The sequence below is a fragment of the Homo sapiens genome, chromosome 15 (assembly GCF_000001405.40).
Source record: "Homo sapiens chromosome 15, GRCh38.p14 Primary Assembly".
Taxonomy (NCBI): domain Eukaryota; kingdom Metazoa; phylum Chordata; class Mammalia; order Primates; family Hominidae; genus Homo; species Homo sapiens.
Genome location: NC_000015.10, coordinates 36887329 through 36915130, shown reverse-complemented (window position 1 = coordinate 36915130; position 27802 = coordinate 36887329). Strand labels below are relative to the sequence as shown.

The window sequence follows — 27802 nt, the reverse complement described above, 5'->3', positions numbered from 1 at the left end:
CAGTATATTTGTGCCAACCCCTTATCAGATTTGCACCAGTCACGGAGAAGCTGAAGGCCTGTTGCTGAGAATTAAAATGCAAAAGAACATACACAGGATACTTGAGGAAAGGAGAGAGAGATTTCATTTCTTCTGATTATTTGTTTGTTTGTTTATTTCAGTCATAGCCTATTTCAATTTATTTGGCTCCTGAACATCCTGGCTCACGTTGTTTATAACAACACGTGTTGACTTCACACGTCTTTCTTTTTGTCCTGCAAAGCTATTGGTATAGATTTGTGGGGTTTTTTAATGCTTGGTTAATTGGCTAGCCTTCTGCGAAAGAGTGTGTTGCTGCGGTTGAGGAAAGTTGGAAAAAAAAAATAGAGGTTAAGGTTTCTTATGACTCTGTCACGTTTGGGAATTGAGGGCCATATAATCTTACTACCCTCAAGCCACTGATAGCAATTTCTATTCCCATCAGCCAGAGCCCTCCCAGGGATGAAAGCCACACCCTCTCGGCTCCACTTCAGCTTTTGGTTTTATTCTCCAGGCCTCTCAGAATCAAGTCACTTTCCCCCATCCTCTACTAACCTTCACATCAGTTTTTACTGCCAGAGGGAGCACTTTTCAAATGGGAAACTCAGAAACTGAGACCTCCCTTCAGAACCTGTCCATATTTGAAAATGCAAAAACTACCCAACTCTCTTCTAGACCTCAGTATTTAATCTTTCACGTAGCAATTAATCACATACCAGTTGTTGCATTAACATTTTTGAAAAGTATATTATGCATGTCATGGGACATATTTGCAGTATGCCAAAGTTCAGTCCGATTTATATTTGCCTACAGCAGAGATGTGTCTTGAATACTCTGGCACAAGAGTTTTCTTATTATCATCTGTGTTCTCCTTGGATTCTTACGCTTCTCCATCTTCCTTTGTCCAGTTCATAACCACACATGTACATCCTCAGAAAGATCATTTTCAGTACTGTTGGTGGCTAGTGCTGCTCAGAGACCAACAGTGGGGTGTAAATTTATATTGATAAGTAGAATTGGGGCCACAGCTGCAAGGTTGCCAACCCCTCAGATCCCACCATACCACCAATCGCTTTGACCTTGGAGGTGAGGATGGCAGGAAGAAAGGAAGTGGCCAAGAAACTATGGCTCATTCCTAGCTCTTCATAGGAAGAACAACTTTAAGTGGCAGCAAGTGGACACAATATGATATCAGTTTAGTTTGATTCTTGGGGCAAAGCAAAACAAGATGGCGGATCCCAGCTCAGTTCCAAGAGCTTCTCTTCCATGACCTCAGCTGGGTTGTGTATCATGGTCTGAGTTCTTTTCCCCAGGGTGTATTTTTTTCCTTCTGACCTGTGTGCTTAGGAGGAAAAAAATCTCCTTAAGCTTTTTTTTTTCTCCCCCTGAGTGTGTGAAGTCAAGTGGGATTTAAGGTCACAAGACACATTTGTGAAAAATAGGTGCATATGTGTGTAAATTCAATGTATGTGCATGTAGGCATATTGTAAGAAATAAGTTTTGAGGTTTTTAAAATTATTTTTTTTACTCTGTTCTATAATCTTTCCCATAGGACTTTAAGGAAATAGTTGCTTTAACATTCTGTTATTTGGAAACGGCCAGTAGGTGATGTAAAAGCTTTGTTTCATTGGTATTGCTAATGAATGTCTTAAGTCACAGATATATGAGTGGCTATTAATTGAAGTGGAATACCTGTTTAAGTAGAGGCTGTTAACTGTTTCCTAAAGGCCAAAATCTATGCTTGTTTAATGGAGAATCAAACTAAGTATCAATGTTATGCAGGTCCAAAATGTGTGTCCAAATTTCACTTTTAATTTTTTAAAATATAAAAATATAATCTGCAACCACATCTATGGATTAACTTGAAAACATCACATAGCTAACATTTATTGAGCATCCACTCTAAACAGGAGACTGAGCTAGGCGCTAAGAACCGAGTAAGTCTGAGTTGGATGGTAGCAGTAAGCAGCTCATTCCAAATGTATACCAAATTTAAATATTAGAAACAACAGTATAGTTCTGCCTTAGAATTTAAATATACCCTTTGTGTTATTTTGTATGTCCATATATGGTATAACTGCCAAGGAGTTTTTCTTCTGCTGTATATAAGTTTTTGAGTGATTAACCAAAGGCAGGTGCGGACAGTGGAAACAAGCACTATTAAAAACCTTCAAGCCCTTCCACAGCCTGAGGGACGGGTACAACACACAGCACCATTTTCTGTTTACACTGACATCACTTTGACAGTTTAGCACCTTTTTTTTCTTTTTTTTTTTTTTTTCAGGAGTGGGGGGTGAGTAGCAAGTCTTCTGATTAGGAATTTTCAAAGACAAACTTACAAACAGAAGAAATAAAGTTTGCATTCCTTCATATATTTAGATATGACAGATTAAAAGCAAAGCAGGTATGCAGAGCATGTTTAATCTCTCACCAAGGTGGCAATCTCCAAATGCTTTGATGTCGCCTCATTGCAAGGCCCCTGAGACTTTTCCAGGAACCAAATTCATTGACTTTATGTGGCTTGCCCATCCCTTCTGGTGTTCAAAAAAGAAAGGAAAAGGTCCCTGCACCTTCTTGCCTCCTTCCTTTATTGTACAGTTTGCTTTGTTTGTTTGATTTTAAAACTGCCATTATGTGAAAGTGTTGCAAGTATAAATAATTGAGAAGATAACTCTGTAGGGAAACCACTTTTGCTGCCTTTGTGCAAAGGCAGCTCATTACGGCTCTAAGCTGCAGCATTCCATAAGAGCAATTATGCAACATCAGTATGTCATGGATATTAACCAAGGGGAGTAGATAAGAGATAGGAAAATAATTTTGTAACTTATTTAATTAAATGTATTTGGTTTTTCAAATAGTTCCTCTTGTGTGTAATTTACCCAGCCACTCCATGGTTGCTGTGGTCTTTGCAGGACTGTTGTCCAGCATTTGTTTTTGGCATTCCTCCTCACTTTTGTGTGCACCTAAAATGTATTTATATTGGGGTTTAATTTCCACCCAAGGAGAGGTTACCCATGAAAATGGAACCATAATTTGGTCATGAGGTTTTTTTATCCCCCCTAGGGCTTATATAGCCAGTTAATATATGTTAATACAACAAAGTGAATAAAAGGTTAAATAAGTGGGTCAGGCTCAGAACGAGTCCTGTACTGCTTACTTCTGCTTAAACAGAAGGAAAAGCCCATAATGGCGCTTGCCTGACTTTCACCCCCATCATTTTAAGAATTGCTTTGCCAATTCTTCACAGCAAATAGTAATTTTAAGTGGACCAAAACAGAGCTCAGGGTGTTTGCACTCCATGGTAATAATAGAGTAGCTGTGCTCCCTGGAGTCAATAAGCCCAACAATTGAGTCATTTTTGCCTCCTGTGAGTGAATCACTGCTGTTAGCCTGAATGACAGGATTGCTTATAGAACCAGAGCCCTTCGCCGGGCTGACCTCATCTCGGGACAGCGAGGTTCAGAGGGCAGGCAGGTGGTGTTTAACACAGTTATAAGTAAAAGCTGATTTTGTACTTGTAAGCTCTGTAAACAAGAAAGTAGAATTGATTGGGAGTGTTTGATGTACATTGCTATACATTATCCAAAGCAGCACTTCCTCTTTTCCTGTCTCTTTCCTCTTCTCATTTCTCCTTCCTCTTAACATTGTCCCTACCTCCTCCTACCTTCTACATGCATGTGTCTCCAACACATGTAACAGACATGCTAAAGTTAGATGGCCACACACAGCTCAGTCACAGTTCTGATTAATGAAACATCCAGAAGGTATTGAAAATATATATGTATATATGTGATATGTATGCATATATATGTATATATACATACACACACACACACACACACGTTATTCTTAAGATTATTCTTCGGTTTCAAACAGCTATTTTGAAGCAGACATTTTAGGCATAGTAAAATACCCAATGATCTTTTTTTTAAAAATATTTCATTGAGTAGGAAAAATATGAGAAAAGTAAGGAAAGGAAAAGGTAGAGAAAACATTTAAGCCTAATATAATTCCCTAATAATCAAATTACCTTTGAGATAGAAAAGTTCTTTTTTTTTTTTTTTTTTTGAGACAGAGTCGCGCTCTGTCACCCAGGCTGGAGTGCAGTGGCGCGATCTCAGCTCACTGCAACCTCCGCCTCCCGGGCTCAAGCCATTCTCCTGCCTCAGCCTCTCGAATAGCCGGGAGTACAGGCGCCGCCACCATGCCTGGCTAATTTTTTGTATTTTTAGTAGAGACAGGGTTTCACTATGTTGGCCAGGCTGGGCTTGAACTCCTGACCTCGTGATCCGCCCGCCTAGGCCTCCCAAAGTGCTGGGATTACAGGCGTGAGCCACTGCGCCCAGCAAGAGATAGAAAAGTTCTAAAGAACCTTTTCAGCCACAGCACATTTTAGGGGTCAAGGTGTCATATTTGGGGTAGTCATGGGGTACTTATGAACAGGTTAGATATAAACAAGAGCCCTACAAGTGGTTCTTCATCTCTGAATCTGACTTGGGGAAATCTAAAGATGGAAAGAAAGCCTATTTTTAAGTTGATAAAAGGCTTAAAAATATAATTTATGTTAAAAATTAGGATGCCGCTTCATTTTCTTTTCACATCCTTGGAACCCGAGTGCCCCTCAAAATCTGAACAACTAGAGTCAGGAATTAATTTGTACCATCACCTTCTCTTGGAGATCTGTAATATATATCACTCTATTAAAGGCTGTGACACAATCTGCAGCAGAGAAAGTGACTTCACTTTGATTACCTTCACATTTGTTTTCTCCATATTTTTTTGACCTAGGCCCCTATTCTGGGGAAATACCTATTGACTAGAGTTCCTCAGAGCACATTTGGGAGCAAAATGTGCTTACAAAGATATCAGAAAAAAATATTTTTAAAAAGCTTTTTGTTTTGGGGGTTGAGACAAGTTCTGGCTCTGTTGCCCAGACTGGAGTGGAGTGGCACCATCTCGGCTCACTGCAGCCTCCACCTCCTGGTCTCAGGCGATCCTCCCACATCAGCCTCCTGAGTAGCTGGGACCACACAGATACAAGCCACCATGCCTGACTAATTTCTTAAGGTTTTCGTAGAGATGGGGCTTCATCATGTTGCCCAGGCTGGCCTCAAACTGCGCGGCTCAAGCAATCCTCCTGCCTTGGCCTCTCAAAGTGCCTCTATTTCTCCTTTGTCTCCTTTCCTTTCTGAGTCTCACAAATCTTCCTCCTTCGCTTTCTATTCTCTATCCCTCTCTCCTAACACCCCCCACCCCCACCCCCACACACACACTCATAACACCTCATTGATCTCAGTTCTCATTCCTCTCCACTTGAGTCAACTGCCCCATCATCCCCAGTACAGTTATGTCCCGGACTGTGCATATTGCCTGCCAGCCTAGAAAAGCCAGAGGCCCAATTTCTTCCAAGTCACATCTGCACCCACGATTTACCTGGCCTCTCTAATGCCCAGATAGATTCGCACCTTTAACTAATACCTCTAGTCTGTATCTTGAGTTGTTTGTGAGTACAAAAATAATTAGACCAGTGCCAGAAAGCCTGAGTTATTTCCCACCTTAGTTCTGTCCCGCTCCAGGGCAAATCATTTCATCAAGGATTCAGCTGTGCCTCTTATAAAATGAGAACAAGAAAATCCTTAAACTCAGGGCTCTTTTATTCTCAATTCTAAGTTATATCCGAGATGAAGGAACCCTATTTTCATTCACTCATTTAGTTATTCACTCACAAACATTTTATTGAGGGTGTACTATATTCCTGACGCAGTGTCAATAATAAAACTTAAGATGTGGCCCCTGCTCTCTAAGGCTATCTAGTAGGAAAGTCAGACGAGTAAATCACAATTGTGAATAAGTACTGTGTTGGGCATATTAGCTCGGTGCCACTGAGGAAGTGCTTCTTAATCAGACTTTGGAACCAGGGAAGTTGCCTCAAAGAGATTTCTGTGATAAGCACTTTGAAGGGTGTGTTAGCCAGATGGCCATAGCAGAAAGCCCAGCCCAGGCCAAAGGAATAGTGTTGTCCTGGTTAGTTAGCACATTAACTTTAAAAGTATTAATTGCTTTTTGTTTATTTGTACGTTACCTGACTCTAAAGAATCTGTGGCAGTTAAACCAAGTACTAAATTAAGGTTTTGTTGTTGTTGTTGTTTTGTTATTATTATTATTATTATTTTGAGATGGAGTTTCACTCTTGTTGCCCAGGCTGGAGTGCAATGGCGCCATCTCGGCTCACCACAACCTCCGCCTCCCAGGTTCAAGCGATTCTCCTGCCTCAGCCTCCCGAGTAGCTGGGATTGCAGGCATCCACCACCATGCCCGGCTAATACTTTTTTGTATTTTTAGTAGAGACGGGGTTTCTCCACGTTGGTCAGGCTGGTGATCCGCCCGCCTCGGTCTCCCAAAGTGCTGGGATTACAGGTGTGAGCCTCCGTGCCCAGCCAAGTTATTTTTTGATAGTGTTGCTACTTTATCTGCATTGTGAAAGTGGAAATAGAAAATAGAAATGCCATCATTTCTATTTCTAAAAATTAAGTTAAACCACCTTAGGAAATTCTGATAGGAGATGTGAAATCTGAATATGCTGTAAAAATTCTTTCAAATTGCCGTACAGTGTGTTTGCTTTTTTGTCTGTTGTAGATGACGGCTTTGTGGGTAATGTCAGAATCAAAGGTTGATGTCTCTATTTCTCACAAATCGGGGGGAAAATCCACTAACTAACCCTCTAAAGCTAAAATATTTAAGGACTAAAGCAGATGTGGCATAACTGCTGGTTTGCTAGGTCTCTTGTGGTTTATAAAGATATATTTTATGTCTTTTATGATTACGGGATGATGCCGAAAATTTTGGGGGTAATAATACCGTCACATTGGAAAGACTGCGTATAACATCTCTGGAGAAGATACAGAATGCCACCCGGCTGTCAAATCAAAGTAAAAGATGTTTAATTTGTCATTAAGAAAAGGCAGTCAGGAAATTTTATTTGGAATTTGGTCTTTGATATGTGAACATCATAAATGTGAGGATATTAAGTCATGTATTCATGAATAGATTTTTTTTTTGCTTTCTGACATAATATAATATGTTTTCATAATAATTTTTAAAGCTATTGTTAGATGCGTAGCTGTTAGAACTATAATTTATTTAAAGTGAGTTTTAAAATTGTTTAGATCTTTGATTTTTTTTTCCCCATTGGCACCTTTACTAGATGCCAGTATAAACTGGTTAAATAGCATTTGGTTTAAACAGAAAGAATATACGTATGCATATTTATGATATTTTGTTTGTTGGATCTTTTTCTTAATATTACTTGACTTTCTGTGTTTTAATCTCATTTTTTCATATTTTGGGTTGAAGCCACTCTAAAGTTTAACACCTAGGAGATTTCTCACTTATGGTTCCCTTTAAAAGTGCTAAAATCTCAGCCTCTCAAACAAGAGACCAAGCTACAATTTAAAGAAAGCGGTGGTATTGATAAAGGGCCCTAAGAATGTTGCCACCTTCCAAATGTGTCCTCTGCCACATCCTTTCTTTTAAAGCAGCAGGAGAATTGAGAGGAGGATAAGAGCCTGGTCCATCCAAACACTTCTGGCATGCCAATCTGGTCTTCTGAAGTATCCCCTGCTGCTTTAGAAAAAAGAGATCCCCAGACAAATGAAAGGCCCACGGGGACATTCACATGCACAGCACCTTCCCTCCAAGTGGCTTTAGATTGCCGGTGTGTTGGGGTGGTTTGGCCTGAGTTGAAGAATAGAGACTTGAGAACCATTTGTTTCCACACCATTTTGGGTGAAGTGCTATATTTTTCACCTTAAAAGCCCATTTAAAAAGAAAAATATGGTTTGAAAGGAGGACACAATTTGGAAGCCATCACACTTAATGGAGGCCCTTTTAAATGTAACACTTTGTCCTATCAATTCTCTTCTAAATTAGTTGTCACTACCTGGAGAAAACCCACCCTTGATTGTTTTATGCTATTGCTTAAAAATACATAGTCTTTTATATAGATTTTCCTATTCCAGTTTTAAAAACTCTCTGATAAGTTCCATTACTAAACTTACTTTCGTTAAGTAAGGAGTGGAACGTAATTTGTGTAGCAACACCCAGTGTAACATGTATGTAATTATCATTGGCCTCTAAATCTAGTTGCACAAATTAACTCAAAATGTAAAGAAAAAGCGAATTGGTCCTATTAGAAACAAGGCCTTGACCACAGAGGTTTTTACTAACAATCGACTTGGCCAGTCATGGTCAGATAAAGAACTTCCCAAAATTTACAGGATAATTTGGAAGAGGAAGGAAGTAATTTTTTTGGAGGTAGCCAGCAGGCAGTTTATCCTGTTACCTACTCCTGCAGCTCTGGAATATTCATGTAGCTTGGAAAATAGGAAGAAATTAGACGTTTTGAAGTTAAGTCCCTACCTTTTGCTCTTCTTTTGTCCTTGTTTTTTTTTTTTTTTTTTTTCTTGAGTGGCTGACATACTTTGTCAGCCTGAAAGTCCTATTGTCAAACCAAAGGTAACATTTGAAAAATTGAGTTTGCCTCTTCCCACCACAACAAATAGGAATTTCTCATCTATTTCCAATTTTCATCAACTATACACCGTAACATACTAAACATAAATTCTCAGACTTATCCTCTTAATATCTTTTGTATTTGTATCTCTCCTTTTTCATCTAAGTTTAATTTATCAGCAGTTCTCCCAACCAAATACCCTACTTCTTTTTCATTTCTACCACCTTAATCAGAGCTCGTTTTGTTTCCCTCTTCTGCCTGGATTGGACAAGAACTTTCCATCTTCTCAGCTTCTAGATTCTCATCAGTTCAGTTCATCCTATACATAGCTCTTGGAAAGATCTTCCTCAAACACCATATTTTATCATTCTACCATTTAGGAATTTCAAGAATTCAATTTATCACTCAAGAACCTCTACCAGATTGCGTGTTAATCATAGCCATGTTTTCCAGATCGAAGCTGGGAGCCAGTCAGAGTTCAATTCCTTTATCCTCCCTTGCACAACATCGGCCCCGGTCTGGACTGGTGCTTTACAGCATGCCATTTCCTTGTTTTCTCTTCTTCCAACATTCCACGTTCTTTTAATCTGCTTCAGCTTTCTTCCTCCAAGAATTTGAAATTAATCTTTATCTTTAACTTCTTTAATTGACTTCATGACACTTATTTACTGACTATGGACTATTTTGACTTGTAATTATTTGTGTGTTCTCCAATTGTGATTTTCAGTTTGTTTCTGTGGGTGTGGAAAATAAAAATCTTTAAAGGCATAACTTGCATTTTCATATATATGGAGAAAGAAACTCATATAACTATATATGTATGTATTGATAATTTTATATATAACTTTGTCTTATATTCTGTCATTAAATTTGTCTTATGTGAAGTATAGAATATGGAAGATTTACCAATGTGTGACACATAGATAGATTACTATGGACCTTAAAAATTATTTGGTCTAATTTTTTTTAGGATTAAAACAGGATGAAAATAAGCCTTACATTATATCTGCTCCTTTATACCTAGCTTTACCTTCCGCCCTCTTCCCATGCCAAACCCAGTCTCTCATTGGGAAACACACACACATGCCCCTAGAGAAAGCATCTATGAATACAATTCTGTGAACGTGGAGGAGGTAGGTGATTAGTAACTTTTGACTGGCCAAAGGGTGATGTAGGTTAAAGCAAGAAATGAGGGTGAGAAAAATCTCTGTTCCCCTAGATAGAGGGGAAGGGAGCAAACACTAGAACATGGCATGATTGAGTATAATAGAAGTGAGAATGTTTAGCAACCATTCTTTTCTCCTTTGTTTCTGGCATTTCCACCCCTCCCCACCCCCCGACAAAATTCCTGTCTTTGATCTATGCAGTAATATGTCTAAATATCCTAGAATTGGTAACTCTGTCTGTATGTATGTGTGTATATGTGTCTGTGCGTGTCCTTATCACCCCTACTTCAGCAGCAGCACAGAAAACTGAGCCAGGTGTTAATGAATTCATCTCTGGCAAAGTTTATTGCTCTGTGTGTGTGTGTTTCCATGCATGTACATGTGCACACACACACACACAATACACATACATATACCTACATACATGTGGCTGATGACTTCTCACAGTGTATCTCAAAGCATTATTGCATGTCCCACTTGGTTGATAGGGCATCTCTAGCCTGACAGATTTATCTGTTGAGAACAGGATTATGCATTTGAAACCAGTTTAATTCTTAGCAAGACAATGCACATGTCTTATGTAGATTTTGTTGTTGGTTTTTTTCTCCTTCGTAAGTTACTCGGGGAAAGTCATGTCAATATAAATCAGTGGTAATGAAATCAACATTATAGCATCTTTGATAATGCATTTGCTAAAGCCTTTCTGGACGTTTACCCAGCTCTCAATGATTGATATTACAGGCAGTGGATAAACATTTTTGATGGATCTGTTTGCTCACAGATAAAAAAAAAAAAAGAAGAAAATGTAATCCTTTTATCTCTTTGATTCAAAGAGTGTAATGCCATTGGAAAGGAAGCAGTTCAAATGTGGTCATCATAGGTTGGTGGCACCAAAAATAGAAACTCACTTAGGGTAAAATTTGCTGTCAGAAAAAATGGAGCATTCTTTCTGAACTCAGGAGCGTGTGGTTCATGCGAGCTTCCTTGTAGATGGTTGCTACAATAAGGCTTCTTTCATACAGGTGTGTTTATGCCCCAGGCTTGCTGGCCACAGTCCATTCCATTTACAGAAGCTGAATTAAACAATAACTACTGCATTGCAAAAAATGGTGGGGGTGGGAGGAAGGGGAGGGGGAAAGGTGAGCGTCAAAGGAGATGCCTGAGAGCTTTGTTAGGGCCAAGAAAAACCCTGTTGCAGTTGTCAGAGCTTGTTGATGTTGCTGGGAACGGCACTTTTTTTTTCTCCTGGATTTTGTGGTTCTGCCTTAGGAAAGAAAGTAAAATAGAACGGAAGAACAAAGTCCTACTCTATAAATCAGCAGCTGCTCCTTGCCAGATCAAAGGAGTGACATTTTTGCTCCTGGACTACTTGTCCACTTGAGGGCTTGACAGGCAGCTAACAGCTGGCCTGCTAGACTGTATGGGAGAATCAGCCTACATCTTCTTCTGAGCAGATGACAAGCTAATCAGAGACATATCCATAGCACAGGGCATGTGAGTGCACCTTGATCTCTTCAAACATATCTAATACATAATTGCTAAACAGCTTGGTGCATTTTTGGCCAGTTAATGCTTAGGTGGTTTCCATTAAGAAGTAGGATAGAGAATTAATACTTCAATCAAAGGTGATCATGAAAGCTAAAAAGCTACTAGATTTGTTGGGATCTTTTCCTCTTACAGTAAAATGGCTAGGAACATAATGGGAGTTGGCTAAGAATGTGTGCAACTGATTGTGAAGTGACTGGTTGATTTGCAAAGCCAGGTCAGGCTACAGTGCTCAGATACAGAATAGGTAATTAGAAATCAGTAGTTTTGAAAATGATTGTGCCTGCTTTTTATGTTGATAGAGTTAAATAAACTTGTAGGTGTACCTTCTGTGTCTGCAAAAAGTTATTTTCAGAAGCACTGTAAGGTGTGTAGGTATCCAGATCTGGAATTTTAATGTCAGTAGTAAAAGTTTCAAAGTAATTCAGTTTCTAGTTGACTTCCATCTGCAATAAATCATGTACAGGATGAGGTAATATACTACAACTTATGTCTATTGACTTAGGATTTTATCTTTAAGAGGATAGATCCTAGATGTGAATAGCTAAGGAAGTTTGAGTGTTTTCTCCTCCCTTGCTTTCAAATAGCTTTGAAAGATCACTTTTATAGTGCATGATAAATAGCTACATATGAATAATCTGATGGCATTCTGTAAGAGTAACAGTGCTTCAAAATCGTAACCTGCTGGGATGTTTTGTTACATGCCATCAAGTGTGATTGTATTCATGGAATAGTGTTTACTGTTGCTCAATATTGTAAAGGAAATAAAAGATAATTCCCTATCTGAGGGGAAATTTCTCAAATATTTTAATTAAAAGGTCCCTACAGTTACCCATATAAACCTTAGTCAAATAAGATAACAAATTTTCTTGATCTCCTTTAAAAATTCTTTTATGTATAAAAATAATTATATTTATTAAAAACTCCAACAGTACAGAATTATTTGGAAAAAAAGATAGAAATCTACCATTCTCCTATCCATGCCTGAGAGATAGCCTCTGTTAACAGTCTTCACAAAAACATTTTACTGGCCCAGCTTTTCCTTTAAGAGGTACAGATGGAGTACAATAAATTAAATTATTATAAAGTGTTTATTGCCCAAGGCAAGTGAGTAAAAGGCTGTTTAGATCTAAGATACCTAAAGAGAAGAGTATGTGCATTTTTTTGCAGCTGAGATTCACAATTAAAACTTGATCTTTGCAAGTTTCTATTCTTAAGCAGAGCACTAGAATTTGATATGTGATCTAGAGCAAGGCTTCTCATACTTAAATGTACATAAATCCCTTGGAGATCTTTTAAAATGCAGAATCAGATTCAGTAGCACAGGAATGGGGACGGTAATGTATTTCTGCATCTCTAACAAGCTCAAGGTGATGTTGCTACTGGTCCATGGCACACATGTAAAGTAGCAAGGATCTAGAGAACCATACAGAGAGTGTGATTCCAAAAGAGCTCACTCCCCTATCCACCTCCCACCCCTGCAGGCAGATGCCTGCCCCAGTGTCTAAAATCTCCACCATAGCATTGTACATTTGGATTAAACTCCGATTTTTAGAAAGATCCGGCGATATGAACACACGCTACCTGTAGGAGTACAACACAGTTATTACCCTGTGGCCAATCCAGCATAGATTTGTTTAACAGCCACCCACCTATTCCTAATTACTATCTATGAGAGAACAGAGCTATTTAGGAGCATTGGATAGGTGCATTTTGACTGTAAGCTAACATTTAATGAGCTTGCTATGTGCCAGGCATTGTGCTAAGGATCTTGCATACAAAATCTCCCTCAATCCTCAAAACCACCCAGGCCCAGTTATTTCCTCAGTTTACAGATAGGAAACAGAGTGAAGCTTGGGAAGGTTAAGAAGAACTGTCCAAATTCACACAGCAAATAAAGGGCAGAGGACATGAGCCCATGCTCTTCACCGTATTGCTCTATGCATAAGTCTGGAGTATACAACAATAATGGAGAAGGGCATGCTCAAAGTAGAGTATTTTAGTAAAGAACCTCCAGGAGCCCTTGTAACTTTAGGGAAGAATTAGATGAAAGTAAGAATATTGAAAGAAGACAGTAGAAGGCCATCACTTACTTGATAATTTTGTCCAGGGCCTTTTATGTCAGCATGAACACTCCATTATTCAAGCCATATTCATAAAGGTACAAAATGTTGTGATTCCAGATTAACATCATGTTTTTATATTATAAATTTATTAGTATTTAGTTCATGTGTTTTTAAAGGTGTAGGCAAATCTAGTATTCTATCAAATTATAAATCAAACTATTGCTTAGGGAAATTCATTATGATCCATGAGTCTGTCCCTAAGTAACATATGAATCTCATTCATTTACCTTACTTTGCTCACGGTTGTCTGTGAGAAAGGAGCCATTGTCTGGTCACCAGTGGAAAACTTATGTCTGCGACATGACTCCATCATTTGCGTGCCCAAGTTCATCTTCAAAGGCATTAAGCTTGCCTTATTCACTGATTTAACCATTTTAATGTATCTTACTGAGAAAATCCTACTCTCAGCTGTAACCATAGCACAGAGAAATACTTGCTTTTTTTGTAAAGTAAGAAAACATGGAGAAATTTGATAAGTGACTTGCCAAGGCTGAAGTTTCATCATTTGAAACACCAGCCAGGAGCAAGTGCTGTGAATAAGCACTGTGGCTGATGGGTCCCAGGGCTGGGGACAGTAGGGAAGCAGGGCCTTTTCATGTTTTAACAGGTCCCCGGTCACTGAGCTACCTACGCCTTTCCCCAGTTGATCTGATCTCTCTTCAACGGTTCAGTCCCCTTCCCTGCGCAAAGCAATCCATGCAGAATCTTCAATTCCAGCTATTCTTGATTCCTCCTCAGAGTGTTCAGGGATGGCAGCTTTCCAGGTAACTCCATGGAGGCCTGCACTTTCTAACAAAAGGAATGCCTCCAAAAGGAGTTGGTTACCAGGTGTGGCATGAAGTTAGTGAACCAGAAAGAAGGGATTTATCCGCCATTTAAAAAGATTGGGGGGTGGAGAAAGAAAGGAATAAAGAAAAGAAACCAACAACAAACAGGAATGACACCTAAATCTACTTCTATCAATCTGAACCATACTTCGGAGTAAAAAGTCTTTAAAGAAAAATCATGATGGTCAGAGTTCAGTTGTAGAAAAGTATGCAAAGCTACCAAGTTTAGACTTTCTGAGGACAGGAGAGGTCTCTGGGAAATAGCTCTTCAGCAAGGCAGTAAGATGAGATTACAGTGATATTTGCTACCTTGGGTTTATTTGTTTTAATGTATTTTTTCATCTCTGAGTTGAGTCAGAAAGGCCTCGTGATTCTTGGAACATCATTGAATTTATTTCTATAATTAAGTTATTTTTAAACTAACAGTCTTAGTATATAATTTTTAAGGATCACACATACTCATGCATTTTCTACTTAAGTAAAATTTAGAGAAAAAGTAGATAGTCTTAGTAGATACTCTCCCAAGCTTTTGTATGGGCCTGGATACTAACTTTGTGTTCAATACAAATCAATGGAACTAGGGCTCTTTAGGGTATTCATTCCCTAAGGACTCACTAATGAAATTATGTGTAGCCCTTTAAAAAAAGTCACAATGAGGCTAATGAAAATTTTTTTTCTAAGTGAAATCTAGATAGAGCTAGACACTAAGCTTACTGGTACATTTTATGGACAAGTTGTAAAAAAACTCAGAATGTTTTTTAAGAACTGTTTAATATTGAAGAAGACTTTGTAACTTAAATTGTTTAAACCGATAGAAAAGTAGATTATATGCCTGCAACTTCGAAATCATTCTGGTATGACATTAAAACTTAGAGAATTTTTTAATATCAGATACAGATGAAAAATCTAACAGTCTTTGGATTGGAAATAACTTGTGGGGGTTTTCATTAAAGTTGGGTGCAGCTTGCTGCATTTTGGTTAGTTGGATGTCTTCAGCAATTTTTCAAATGTTTTGGGTTTGGCAAAGTCCAAAATGTTTTTTGCCAAGACCCTCTTTTCCCCTTATTTTTTAAACCCGTGTGAAATTCAAGGATAACTTAATCCATATGTGTCTGATTCATTTACACTTAACTCATCAAAATGTTATTTTATAAGGCCCATTTAATATCCATGGAACCTTTTGAGTCTTTTTAAGACAAGTCTTTTGTCTTTGAACCAGCAAGTTACATTTTTCCATATGAATGGAGCCTGAACCTTGAAAGACTGAAGATGAGTTGATTTTCAACTTAGCTTCTTCAAATTTTACGTAAAATCAAAGCTTGATATTCTATTTACTACTTGAGCATTGAAAAAGGTCATTCTAAAAAATATAGATTAGAAGATGTGGAAAAAAATTTATTTCATGTAATTTTGAGAAAAGACCATATATGGAAATTTCATCTTACAAATATTAAATAAATAAAAATTATTTCTAGTTTGATTTGTTTTAGTCTATAATTTAAATGGCTCCATGTTATGTATGTCAGTGTATTTTCTAAGAGTGGCCTCTGAGTCATCAGTACTGGTAGGAGGCGGTAATTTCATTTTTTAATGTCAGGGTTTTCTTACAGTCAGCTCATTAATTGTTAATTTTCATAGTAATATCTATGATGTCAATAAAATATCCCAAGATCAGGGGAATTGACAATTGGCAGGAGTTGCATGTTAAGAGATTTCTGAAAATTTGGGGCCCATATGTTTTTAAAATTCTGTGTGATTTGAAAGAATGTGGTAGAATTATGAATCTGTCAAGAAATAGCACTATGGATCAAAAACATTGTTTGAGAACAAAAATCCAGAGAGGCTAAATGGTGCCCAAGTGAAAAAAGCAAAATCTCTGTGACCCTTTTTAAAAGGACCTAGTGAAAACCTTCAGAGGCTTCTATTCATATTTGCTTAGGAGAAGTGGGTAAAGAAAGGCCATTGCCATAACTGCTAGTGAACATCCAGTCCATGCCATGGTAACTAGTTGAAAATGTTATACTGGAGTGGCATTTCCAAGTTCAGTGCTTCTATAAAGACCTGCTAGCTCACAGAATGCTTTTTTAATGTTCTGCATTGTTGTGTGTCCCCCATTGAACAACCTTTTGAGCGGACCTCGTTTTTACTAATGTAAACATTCTGACTAGTATCCAAAGAAATGACCTTTGAGTGAACCTCTAACCTTCCCCGTAAGTATTTGTTTGAAGACAGTGTGGAGTTCTCCTGCTGAGAACTAAGAACCATGATGCCTTGCAGCTCTGTGAGTAAGGGAGTGTTTGGGGGAACTGGAGAGAAAGACATAAATAAGGGAACAACCTCCAGATGTAAAGAATAAAAGAGTGAAATTAAAAAGGGAAAAAAATAGCAATTCGTTTTACCCGAAGAGTTAGCCTATACCGAAAAAAAAATAAAAATAAAAAACGCAAAACACAAAAACCAGGATTAGTAGCACATAAAAGGGGGTAAAACCCCTGCCGAGTGTTGTCCTCTATTAGAAACTTCAAGGAGAAGAGCCTTCTCTGACCCTCCTGAGCATCTCTGCTGGTTTCAAGGTGAGCTGATAAAAACGGTTCCTGGGGTGGAAATATCAGGTCAGTCCTCCTTGGTTGCTGTAAAAGTGGTGGGGAAAGAGTAGATAATTAAGTTCTTTTTCTGATTGGAGGAGGGATGCTTCTGGAAGTCTTTGTGATCTAGTCAGATATTCATTCCTCAGCAACATTTCAGGTGACAGGTGGGAAGAAAGATGCAGTTTCAACTCTCCTTTTGTTTTCACCTCTACATAGCTGATCACTTTCTTTTTTGACAACTGAGCTACACTTTCTTAAGTAATAAAGAAGTCCATTGTTTTGCAAACAAACACCATATGCAAAAGACTCCTTTGGTTTTCTCCCAGCTATTATTCCTCAGCTTAATTGTATTCCCACCAGAGTGCTCACAGGAGGCCCGACCGAGTGGGGCCTGACTGTCCTCCTCCAAAGGGACTTCAGCTTCCTCGGAACACAGAGCTGCCAGCACACACTGAATTTTTCTGGCTAATTTCAAAGAGTGAGTTTTCAGTTCCTGCCTGTGGCCCCAGGTGGACTCATTAATCATGAAGTCCCCCTGTGCTTAAGATCTGAAACTGGAAATATTGACAGATGTTATCAATGGGTATATTTTTAGGGAGAAGCTAGCTGGATGCTCCCTGCTCCTCCGAAATGCGTGGTCAGTGAATCGTGTGCATGAGCTCAAATGTGTGGGGAATACACGTCGTTAAGTGCACAGGGACAAGGGTAACTCACAAATGGTAGAAAATTGTTTTGTTTTTATTAAATTTGGAGAAATAAAGGAGATTTCTTATCATCTTACTCTGTTTGTACATGAATATTTGATGGGCATTATTAAACATTAAAGTAACATGAAGTAGGCACTTATTTTTGGATTTCCAACAAAATTAGATCCAGGCTTCTTAGATGAAATAACTGCTTCTCCTTTGCATTCCTGCGATTCAGCCACCACCTGATTTGCAAACGTTTCTTGAGCTCTAATATCAAACATGTGTACCTGAGGCTCTGTCTTTCTAGTGGGTTGAAAGGTGGCTGGGTTTATGGTTGGCAGTTACCTTATCCTCTGCCCTGGGTGTCCCAGCTTAGGCTGGAAAGGCTGCCCCCAGCTGGCACTGACCTCTGAATGACCCCTAACTTTACAGGCTTAAACTGCAGGAGTTGCCGAAGAGCAGAAGTCTTTCTGGCCAGCACTTATTACTGCTGTGTTGGTGATAAAACTTCAGACAGCCTAATTGATGGCTTTGCTGACCTAACAATACCTTGTGAAAGCCGAGTGCTAGAGCCTGGTCTCCATTTATGACCAGCTGCAAGGGGAAGCTGGGTCTCCCTATCACGGGGAGTCTAGGGAAAGGGGGAAAGTCTTCCAGCCTGTGAACTTTAACCAGATTCCTACTTGTGCAAGAAGCAGAAGCACAATTTGAAGTTAATAGAAGCTTTCTCATGGAGAACTTTATTCCGTCCCTGAGCTCTTCTAGCAAGTTGTTTTGGAGTTGACTACGCAGTGACGACGGAGATTACCCAGTCAACTATTTTTGAACGCTGAAAGGGAAAATCACCTTTAAATTGAAAAGATAATTTTCAGAAGAGATTTGACTGTATTTTGTGCTCCTCAGCATTCATGCAAAGGTGTTCGCAGAGTACAGAAACGGAGTATGATGACTGGACTTCTCTGTTCTCTTTCAGGTTTATTAATGCCAGAAGAAGAATAGTACAGCCCATGATTGACCAGTCAAATCGAGCAGGCAAGTTCCAAGTAGTATCTATATTTATGTCCCACAGGCACAAATCCTCATCAAGTTATACTCCAGTAGTTTCCTCATCTGATAAATAAGTGCTTCCACCAGGCATTCTGGATTTTTTTTTTTAATGTCCCCAGAATCCCACTCAAGGAAGCAACTTCAGTAAGTGGTGCTAATTGGAGATTTCCCACCCTGACTCTACTGACACTGCTTTTTATTTTCTTTCTGAATTGGTAATTGGGCACAGGTATTAATGCCACAAGCAGCGTGTTTGTGAGCTCTGGCATTACCCCTTGCTTGTCTGCATCCAATCATTAGCACACTCTCATTTTTCTGTTACCCACAGCTCCTTGGTGTATGCTAGGCTTTCCTTTCTGTAGCATCTGCTGTTAAACTTATTGTATCCATTCATTTGCTTTGGCTATTCATAATATCCTATTAAAGCCTGACTTGCTGCATTGCCACCATTATTTTTTATTAAAGAATATTACCTTTGTATAAAATGCTTCACATCCATGCTGCTAAAATACATGTGAGCTTTTCTCAGAATTCTCTCAATTTCTCTAAAACAGTTTTTGTATGGTACTATCAGAACCCTCCTGGTATACTCCAAGTCGTTTTATTTTGAAACAGACATTTCCTCAGTTTACTGAGGGTTTGTGGTCTCCTGCAATAAGGCTTATAGGGAAAAACAGTTTTCCTTGGGGTGATGACTGCTGCCACTAACAACGGTGTTAAACTTGATGGAGATTTTACCTGTGGCCTCGCTTTAAAGGATTTGTGAAAATTAGTCATCCTTTGGCAAAATTTCCCCAATAACGCCAAAATATGTTCCCACTATTGGAGGCTAGGGAGAAGAACATAAAACAATGGAAATATTATATTTACTAAGTTTATATTTCCTTGGTGTGAATAAAAAGGCAAGCTTTTAATTGAGTCTATTTAACCTTGTGAAATTGTATTCAGGTTTAAAATGTTTGTGTAAAATATGAACATTTTGTATTAAGCCACCAGAGATGGCAGCCTCAGAGAATCCCAACCAAATGGTACATTGCAATATTTGTATATGGGGTACCCCTAACTTCTCCAGCCTTCGTCCCCCTAATCAAGAGATAAGTAAAAAAGCAAGGGCTGCAGAGGACGAACCCCCTGGGAAACTGGCCAGTGAAGTCTTTCTTCCAGAACATTTTTAAAGCTACTCACACACCTTCACTCAGTCATCAAGACACTCAGACAAACCACACCCCCATTTGTAGAGTGCCAACCACATTGTTGCTATAACGTTTCAGTGCTGCAGCGGGAACAATTGCTGATTGTTTGGTATATCTTTTCTTCTTTCTCCTCTGTGTCCTCGAATGACCACAATCAGGTTTTCTTCTTGATCCTTCAGTGAGCCAAGGAGCAGCATATAGTCCAGAGGGTCAGCCCATGGGGAGCTTTGTGTTGGATGGTCAGCAACACATGGGGATCCGGCCTGCAGGTAGGTTGGCTCATCCCGCCTCTGGGCTTCCCTGGGAAGTGCCACCTGCTCCACCAGCCTCTCCATCCACTCTACTATCCCACTGTCATGGTGGGTTTAACATTTGCCTGCTGCCTGCTCTGCCTGCTTTCTTTACATTGGGTGGGGGAAAAAATTCCTCTTTGAAAAAGTAAAGATTTTACCACAGTACCATTATACTCTGCCCCATACACATCCTTTTTCTTTTTTCTTTTTAAACCAAGGCAATAAGTGAAAAGGAATCTGAGTTTCCTTCTATTTTTTCACCATCAATTATTGCTGATTTTCCGGCCTCTTCTTGGATTTTATCTCCTTTCTAGGACCTATGAGTGGAATGGGCATGAATATGGGCATGGATGGGCAATGGCACTACATGTAACCTTCATCATGTAAAGCAATCGCAAAGCAAGGGGGAAGTAAGTACAGTCGGGTGCGATCTGTCTTCACTATCACTTCAGAGACTTTATTTTATTTTTTATAATTTGCCCCCATTTTATTTTTCCTTGCCCATAACTGCATGCCTTTCCAAACTAAGGACCTGTTTTTAAATATATATCACCCATCTCTGAAGTCACAGATGACACTGATGTGCACTTTTGAAAAGGCCAACTGACAAGCCTGCGTGTGTTTTAAGCAGGTGGGACTGCCTTTTAGCCTATTTACTGTGGCCCCAATGTGCACAAACACAGACATCAGGCAGATATTGGACATTTAAGAATAAAAATAATGTCTTGGGGGCACCAGTTGACTGAGAGAAATTAAGCAGGCTTCAATGAAGCGATAAAAAAAAAAAGGAAAAGTAGAACTGTCCTTTGAGTGACATAAATCTGTCAGAATACGATTGATGCCCAAATTATCTTATATGCAAAGATGAAATGCTGCAGTTCATTATGCCTAGTCTAGATATATGACAGCAGTGACACCATTGATTCTTCACTAGGGAGTCGGTGTGTTTTGATTATTTTTTACATGTGCCTACTGACTTCCGACATGAGACAGAAAGACAGGAAAGTCAGTCAATAAATTTAAAGGGAAAGACATTTAGGAGCAACTGAATATGAAGGAATGGATTTTTCACTGAGGCTGAATGGCTGCAGTTGGATTAAGAAACCCATTAGACTTTAAAGCTTCAAGTGTTTTTGACATCTGAAAAAAATTCAGAGTCTGCCAACAAGATATATCCTTTGCTGAAGACACCAGAGCATAAAAAAATTCATATAACATTGAAACTTCCTTGTTTAATGAGGCTGAATATAACAACACGTACCTTGATTAAATCATTCTCTATATGTAAATAGAGGCCAACATTTTATAGGGGAGCTCAGGGGGTCACCACGGCACACCATTGATGAAGCCAATTTCCTTCCTTCCTTCCTTTACTAATGCAGTCAAAAAATGTAGAAAGCAATGTTCCCTAAAACAGCTATAGAGAAAACATTTGCTCAGCTTGGATAGTTCTTAATATAGGCCATATAATTTCTAGCCTATTTAATTACATAACATATTTTATGCTTCATGACCAATTACATTAATAGCTTAATACAGAAGAATATTATCCTCTCTTGATTTGATTATGCAGCCACACAATATGGTATATTTGGTACTTAATTATCATCATCCATTGAGCAGGCTGCTGTGGTAGAATAAACAGAGAGCTGGGACTATGCAGGCTGTGTTATTGTCTTTAGATGGTTTTGCCACTTCTGTTAATAATGGACTGCGGATCTACTTAACAAAATGACTGCAGCATATAAGCCTTTAGATTACCAGCTTACAGTGTCAAAAACATCTGTTCAGCTTTTCAACTGTATGCACTGGAGGTTAAATAGAGGTGAATAAAGCTGTCCTTTTAGATCCGGGGATGTGCAACAGTAAATATAACCTTAATTCAATAAACAGGTAACTTGTAAGAGAAATCAGAATCCTTACAATTGCTGACTTCCCACCATTTAACTCATAACTTTGAATGTTGCATATCTCAATTGAGAATTTCTACATTTATTACATTTTATTCCTAATATCAAGGCATTATTTGGGGGGATTTTCAGAGATAAACTACCGGGCATGTCATATGACCTCACATTGACTTCTTACCTTTGACCTTTACAATCTCTTGGGTGTACTGCTATAGGAATGCCTCTAATTCAAAAAGGGGGCTTCATTTTAAATACACGTAAAAGCTCATTTCTTCAAAATGAATATGCTGTAATGTTTTGTGTAATAAATTTTTCATGAGGAAATATAGATATGATAAGATGTCAATTTTATTTTATTCTACTATCTACAATTTTTGTCCAGGTCTACAAATGCAACACAGAAAAATAAATGATCTATCAACAGTTAACTGATAAAACTCGACTCAAAATTTATATTCTTATTGCATTTATCAAAGAAATGTACTGAATACCATTTTGAAAAACAGTTCCACTTTATGACATTTAGTTGCATTAAATATTTAGTTCTGTTGTGTTGCATTATACTGCTGTGCGATGAAATTAAATGCAAACTACAATTTGAATGTCTGCAAACATTGGCAAGAATCTGCAGCTAAATTTAGGTATAAGATTTGCAGTGTCTGTTGTTTTTTTTTTTTTTTTCTTTTCATCTTTGATGGGTAAAGTATAAAAATGTTTAGGAATTTGACCCGCTTTCTTTTTCCCTCTCTATTTTCAGGTTTGCAGAGCATGCCAGGGGACTACGTTTCTCAGGGTGGTCCTATGGGAATGAGTATGGCACAGCCAAGTTACACTCCTCCCCAGATGACCCCACACCCTACTCAATTAAGACATGGACCCCCAATGCATTCATATTTGCCAAGCCATCCCCACCACCCAGCCATGATGATGCACGGAGGACCCCCTACCCACCCTGGAATGACTATGTCAGCACAGAGCCCCACAATGTTAAATTCTGTAGATCCCAATGTTGGCGGACAGGTTATGGACATTCATGCCCAATAGTATAAGGGAACTCAAGGGAAAAGGAAACACACGCAAAAACTATTTTAAGACTTTCTGAACTTTGACCAGATGTTGACACTTAATATGAAATTCCAGACAGCTGTGATTATTTTTTACTTTTGTCATTTTTCATCAAGCAACAGAGGACCAATGCAACAAGAACACAAATGTGAAATCATGGGCTGACTGAGACAATTCTGTCCATGTAAAGATCCTCTGGAAAAAGACTCCGAGAGTTATAACTACTGTAGTATAAATATAGGAACTAAGTTAAACTTGTACATTTCTGTTGATCACGCCGTTATGTTGCCTCAAATAGTTTTAGAAGAGAAAAAAAAATATATCCTTGTTTTCCACACTATGTGTGTTGTTCCCAAAAGAATGACTGTTTTGGTTCATCAGTGAATTCACCATCCAGGAGAGACTGTGGTATATATTTTAAACCTGTTGGGCCAATGAGAAAAGAACCACACTGGAGATCATGATGAACTTTTGGCTGAACCTCATCACTCGAACTCCAGCTTCAAGAATGTGTTTTCATGCCCGGCCTTTGTTCCTCCATAAATGTGTCCTTTAGTTTCAAACAGATCTTTATAGTTCGTGCTTCATAAGCCAATTCTTATTATTATTTTTGGGGGACTCTTCTTCAAAGAGCTTGCCAATGAAGATTTAAAGACAGAGCAGGAGCTTCTTCCAGGAGTTCTGAGCCTTGGTTGTGGACAAAACAATCTTAAGTTGGGCAGCTTTCCTCAACACAAAAAAAAGTTATTAATGGTCATTGAACCATAACTAGGACTTTATCAGAAACTCAAAGCTTGGGGGATAAAAAGGAGCAAGAGAATACTGTAACAAACTTCGTACAGAGTTCGGTCTATTAATTGTTTCATGTTAGATATTCTATGTGTTTACCTCAATTGAAAAAAAAAAGAATGTTTTTGCTAGTATCAGATCTGCTGTGGAATTGGTATTGTATGTCCATGAATTCTTCTTTTCTCAGCACGTGTTCCTCACTAGAAGAAAATGCTGTTACCTTTAAGCTTTGTCAAATTTACATTAAAATACTTGTATGAGGACTGTGACGTTATGTTAAAAAAAAAAAGGTGTTAAGTCACAAAAAGCGGTAATAAATATTTCATTTTTGATTTTTTGTTAGGCTTTTGCGTTTTTAATGGTTTTAGGACAAGACTGCACAATGCCAACTCTATACAGTGTTAAAAGTAGGTTTTTCCCCCCAGCAGTTGAGTATATTTTAAACTCATCAATAATTTTTAAGGTAATCATCTATAGCCTTTCAATGTCTATTTGACCTATAAGTTCCACCAGCAGAAAACTTCTAAAGGTACGAAACTATGTGTACATGATGAGCCAGGTTGAAAGATCCCCTTGAACATGCTCAACCTCCTTTTTAGATGCATGACGTTAAAAAATATATACTTTCAGATAAAGCTTTTCATGGGCATCCTCTGCCAGAATAAAGGACTTTTCAGGGTTAATTTTACAACATAAGAAATAATGTCTGTGCTCAAAGGTAATTTATCTGCCTGTGTTTTTCCTCTGCCTGTCTTACTACAATATTGTTGGATATGTAAATGAAAATTTACATATGGGTGTTCATAGATAAGTAAACAACTTCTATGGAGTTTGAAATTCTGACTTTAAAAGATTACTTAATCATTAATATTTTATAAATTATATTGTGGTATATTTTTATTTCAGACACATCCATGTGCAGGGATGCTAGTGTGATGATTTGATAACTAAACTTAAACTTTTTTCTGAAAACAAAACAAAACAAAATGGACGGTATAATGCCATTTTCAAAATTTTATGCAACATTCCTGGAAATCTATACCATTAGCTTATTGATACTGCACAAACAATGTCTGCTAAAGTGTGCAAAAAGGGTGAGGCATGTCCCCTCAATTTTCAAATAAATATACTATCCTGGAATTTTTTAACTCTTAAATTTTGAATCTTTGTTTAGAAAGAATAATGTCATATACTTTGGCTAGATATGTGATGTCAACCGGCTAAGGAAATTATTCATCATCTCTGCAAACTTAAACTTGGAAGAAATCCATAGTTATTATTTGGGGCTCTTCCATCTTTCCATTTCAGACAGCATTTATGGAGGTTCTATATAAATGAACGAGGAAATACACTTCTATTGTTTTGTGTTATATTTAGTCAGGTAGAATTTTTACAAATACATTTCAGTTTAAGTGTTGTGTTGCTGTTTAAACATAGAAATAATGCTTCTGACACAAACTAACTTAATAGAGAAATTCAGTGCCACTTGGGAAAGAGAGATAGCTTCCCTCTCATTTTTGCTATTCTATTTTACATGAAGTCTTTTTGTAAATTTTAAATATTTGCCTATTTTTACTTTAAATACTTTTATGTAAACTATGAAAATTCCCCATTATAAATCAACTCTCACATCAGGTGGGAAAAAGAACCTTTTTTTCTTTCCACTCAGTAAATTCTGAAGGGTTTCCTTGGCAATTGGCTCGTGTTTAGGATGTGTTTTATGCAATTATCAAGTTATCTCATTGAAGTTTAGAGACCAGAGCTCTCAACTCTTGGTTTTAATGAATAAAGTCATCTCATGCTTAGTTTATTCGTCAAACCCACGTCCTATCATGTTAACTTTAACCTTCTTAAATATTTGGAGATGAATGATAATTGTAATATTTGTTTGCATTACCTTGCTCTCCCCCACCCCCAACCCCATGATAACACAGAGAAGTGATAGATTTGTCCAATTTTTATAATGCTTTTTTTACACCACCCCGGAAGGCACTTGCTCCTATCTCGGGTTTACTATTTAGTGTAAAGAGTTCCGATTTGGGTATATTTAAGAAAGACTCAGCTGTCAAAAGCAAAGAAACTGGGAATGGTGTTTTGACAACCATATAGTGTTAAAGGAAATACTGTAGTCTGAATAAAATTGCTTATGTTCTCCAAAACAAGAGTAATATAAAAACACTTTTTTATTTATATGAAAAAGCAAAAGCAGAAATAAATTCCAAAGGTTTCCCTTTCTTTAAGAAATTCTGAGAGAACTGCAGTCGCCATCTGTTAAGGGTTGGGAATTGAGCAAGAAGCCACATTTTAAACGAAAAAGAGAGAAAAGACCAGGAAAGTCTGTGTCTTCCGTCCACCCCTCCTCTCTTCCACCCCCTAGGTCAGCACCCCTCACGCCCCTCAGCTCTCACCCTCGTTAGAGTCCACCAGGATCCTCCTGCCTCCTCACCCCCTCCCGCCCCCGCGGGCCTGTTAACCCGGAGCAGATTTGGGAAGGGAAATGTGGCTAATATCTCTAGCAGCTGTCAAAGGAGGGACCTTCCTTCAAAGGGACTGGACAGGGATCCTCCACAAGTTCTCCATTAGCTAGCAGGCCAGCAATTTGATAAGGAGCCTGGACCTCCGCTACAAGTTGCCACTCAGTTAGAAAGTCCGGTGTCCGGGTGTCTGGATGCGCGGAGTGACCCCAGCTTCGCGGCCGCAGCCCCCGCCGCCCACCCAGCGGGGTTGGTGCAGACGTGCGTCCTGGAGCCTAGGAGGAGGCAGGACAGAGGCTTGGGCCGCGGCAGAGGGGCGTGCAGAGGGCTACCCTGGCCCTCACCTGGCCTTCCCTGGGCGCGTGTGTTAGAGTTAGACCAACGTATTGCAAACTATGGGGGCACGGGGGGCCCGTCCCAGTTACAGTTGCAGTCATCAACTCAGGGCGTCGCGCGCCGGGGCGGGCCCCCTCCGTCGGGGCCGGGGCTGGGAGAAAGTGCCGCGCGGGGGAAATGCTGGTCTGATGGGGGAGGCCGGTCAGATTGTGATGAGAATGGAGACCGTCGGGGCAGTGTTTGAAGGGAGGTTTTAATATTAATAGTTTCGGTGTAGAGACAGAAGGGAGATTGCGTCTACGGCTCCTCCGGGCAGACTCTGGGTGACAGGAATGATGGATGATCCGGCAGAGCCCAACAGCTCCTCCCCCCCCAGCCCCAACAGTGTCAAAGCTACTTTAGTTGAAGCTTTAGAAATAAACAGCATCGCCACCCCCCCATACTCTTAGTACACCTCCACCCTCTCCCCCCGCTTTCCGACATCGATTTATGGATCATTATGAATCAATTACTGCCCTCAATACCTTCCCATTGGCTTAAATAAAACAGTTGAAAGATGAAAACGTGGGGTTCTGTGGAGATTTTTTTCCCTGACAAGAACAATCGCAAAATCCATTATCTCATAATCCGAGGCGCTGGGTGAGGAGGTGAAGAGAAAGGACGGGGTCACCCAGTAAATAACTGGGGGGAACGCAGGAAGGGGGGTGTCGCCCAGATGCTGCCTTTGTTTTCTTTCAGATGGGTTTGGTTGGTTGGTTTGTTTGGTGTTTGGGGAGCGGGGTAAACTCGCGTGAGAATTAGATGCCTACAAGTTTTGTGACCTAATTATTTAACTCCTTTGGAGAGACCCCTTTGAATATGTGTCTCGTCAAACATCAGATGTTGTTGGTAGTGAGGTCACACATGGGAAAAGGTGTGGAGGAATGGGTCCGTCTGGAGGGCGGATTTTCACTTTGTTGTGAGCAACTGTGCGCGGGAGGGTTGGCCGCCGGGTGGGGAGACCGTCCCTCTCCCCTCGCCCCCCGCCGCTGGCTGTTTTTGTCGTTGGAACTGGTTTGGATCTGGGGCTGGCCGTCCCCTTTCGCCCCCACCCCCACCTCGGCCGCCCGAGGCTTTTCTTCCCTCTCCTGCCTCTTCCGCGGCGGGGCTCGAGGTTCTCTAGGTGTTTCTATGACTACATTGTGTGTGTGGGAGGGTCAGACGTGGGGGTTGCCCGCGAGAGGG

At 39.3% G+C, this 27802-nt stretch overlaps 1 protein-coding gene across 9 annotated transcripts in view, besides 2 other annotated features; it reads left to right on the top strand.

The window, feature by feature from the left end:
• The window catches only part of MEIS2 (Meis homeobox 2), a 212108-nt gene extending 186181 nt beyond the window's left edge, over positions 1–25927 (top strand). For 4 of the 9 annotated variants that reach the window (NR_051953.2, NM_002399.4, NM_170674.5 and 1 more), the window contains 4 exons: positions 18445–18503; positions 19891–19980; positions 20319–20414; positions 22672–25927. Coding sequence is in view for 8 of the 9 variants with exons in the window: in NM_002399.4 (NP_002390.1) it covers positions 18445–18503; positions 19891–19980; positions 20319–20377 (208 nt within the window). In the remaining variant the exon portion in view is untranslated. Of the gene's footprint in view, positions 1–18444; positions 18504–19869; positions 19981–20318; positions 20415–22671 lie in introns of all 9 variants that reach the window. The other 5 variants (NM_170677.5, NM_172315.3, NM_001220482.2 and 2 more) reach the window with 3 other exon arrangements.
• Positions 16153–16739: an enhancer, noted in NCBI's record as "NANOG hESC enhancer chr15:37190593-37191179 (GRCh37/hg19 assembly coordinates)". NCBI's record gives its function as "activates a minimal SCP1, AML or CMV promoter by ChIP-STARR-seq in primed H9 embryonic stem cells {active_cell/tissue: H9 hESC(primed)}" and the evidence as "EXISTENCE:reporter gene assay evidence [ECO:0000049][PMID:30033119]".
• Positions 16740–17328: an enhancer, noted in NCBI's record as "NANOG hESC enhancer chr15:37190004-37190592 (GRCh37/hg19 assembly coordinates)". NCBI's record gives its function as "activates a minimal SCP1, AML or CMV promoter by ChIP-STARR-seq in primed H9 embryonic stem cells {active_cell/tissue: H9 hESC(primed)}" and the evidence as "EXISTENCE:reporter gene assay evidence [ECO:0000049][PMID:30033119]".